We start from the raw sequence: 805 nt of genomic DNA on the forward strand, positions 1-805 counted from the left end.
TTTCTCAGCTCCCACTAGGGGTCATCAACTCTCCATACACGCAGGGTAAGAAGAACCCCCTGCAGAAGCTGACAGGCTCTTGGCTGCATCACAACTAAATTTTCCTTTCAGCCTGTGTCAGCTCTGCTCCTAGTATTTCAAAGGGGTGGGGCAGAGAAGTTCACACTCCCTCTGCCACAGCCTCAGCAGCCTGAAACCCACCACTACCTGCTGAGGCTCAGGTGATGTCCTCTTCTCTCCAGACCTGGATACTCCAGGACATTTAAGAACTCCCCCTCCCATTAGCCTGAGGGAGGAGCACCATCTTCTTAACCCCCAGGCACCGCCTCCTTCTCCTCAAGTAGTCTCCCCTGATGGCTGCCCAGGCAGAACACCCCCAAGGCTGGAGCTGCAGGCCTGACCCCAAGACCATCTCAAGGTAGTCAGGTTCCTGGGTATTAAACCCATTTAATCAATGTGAAACCCAAATCCCAGAGGTGTTATGCGACCTGTGAAAGGTCACATGGCTAATCAAGCAACAGGGTCTGGACTCCTGACCACAAGCTCAGGACTTGTCACTGATATCACAGCCGCTCTCCCATCCCACTATGTGGCCCCATGCACGTCATCTTGAGTGAACCCTCTGTTCTCACCCAGAACTGCTCTGCAGATTTCCAGGAGAGAGGATATTCAAGATTGGCTCGATTCTGACTACCCCACGTGGTAATGAGGAAGTTACTGCAAAAGGCAGTCCATGAGTTCTAGAGTTGGAAACTCCTTGTGTGGAATCAAAATTTGGGCAGCTTATCTGCTGGTCACCCTCAGG

Source organism: Homo sapiens, chromosome 1 (assembly GCF_000001405.40).
Source record: "Homo sapiens chromosome 1, GRCh38.p14 Primary Assembly".
Lineage (NCBI taxonomy): Eukaryota > Metazoa > Chordata > Mammalia > Primates > Hominidae > Homo > Homo sapiens.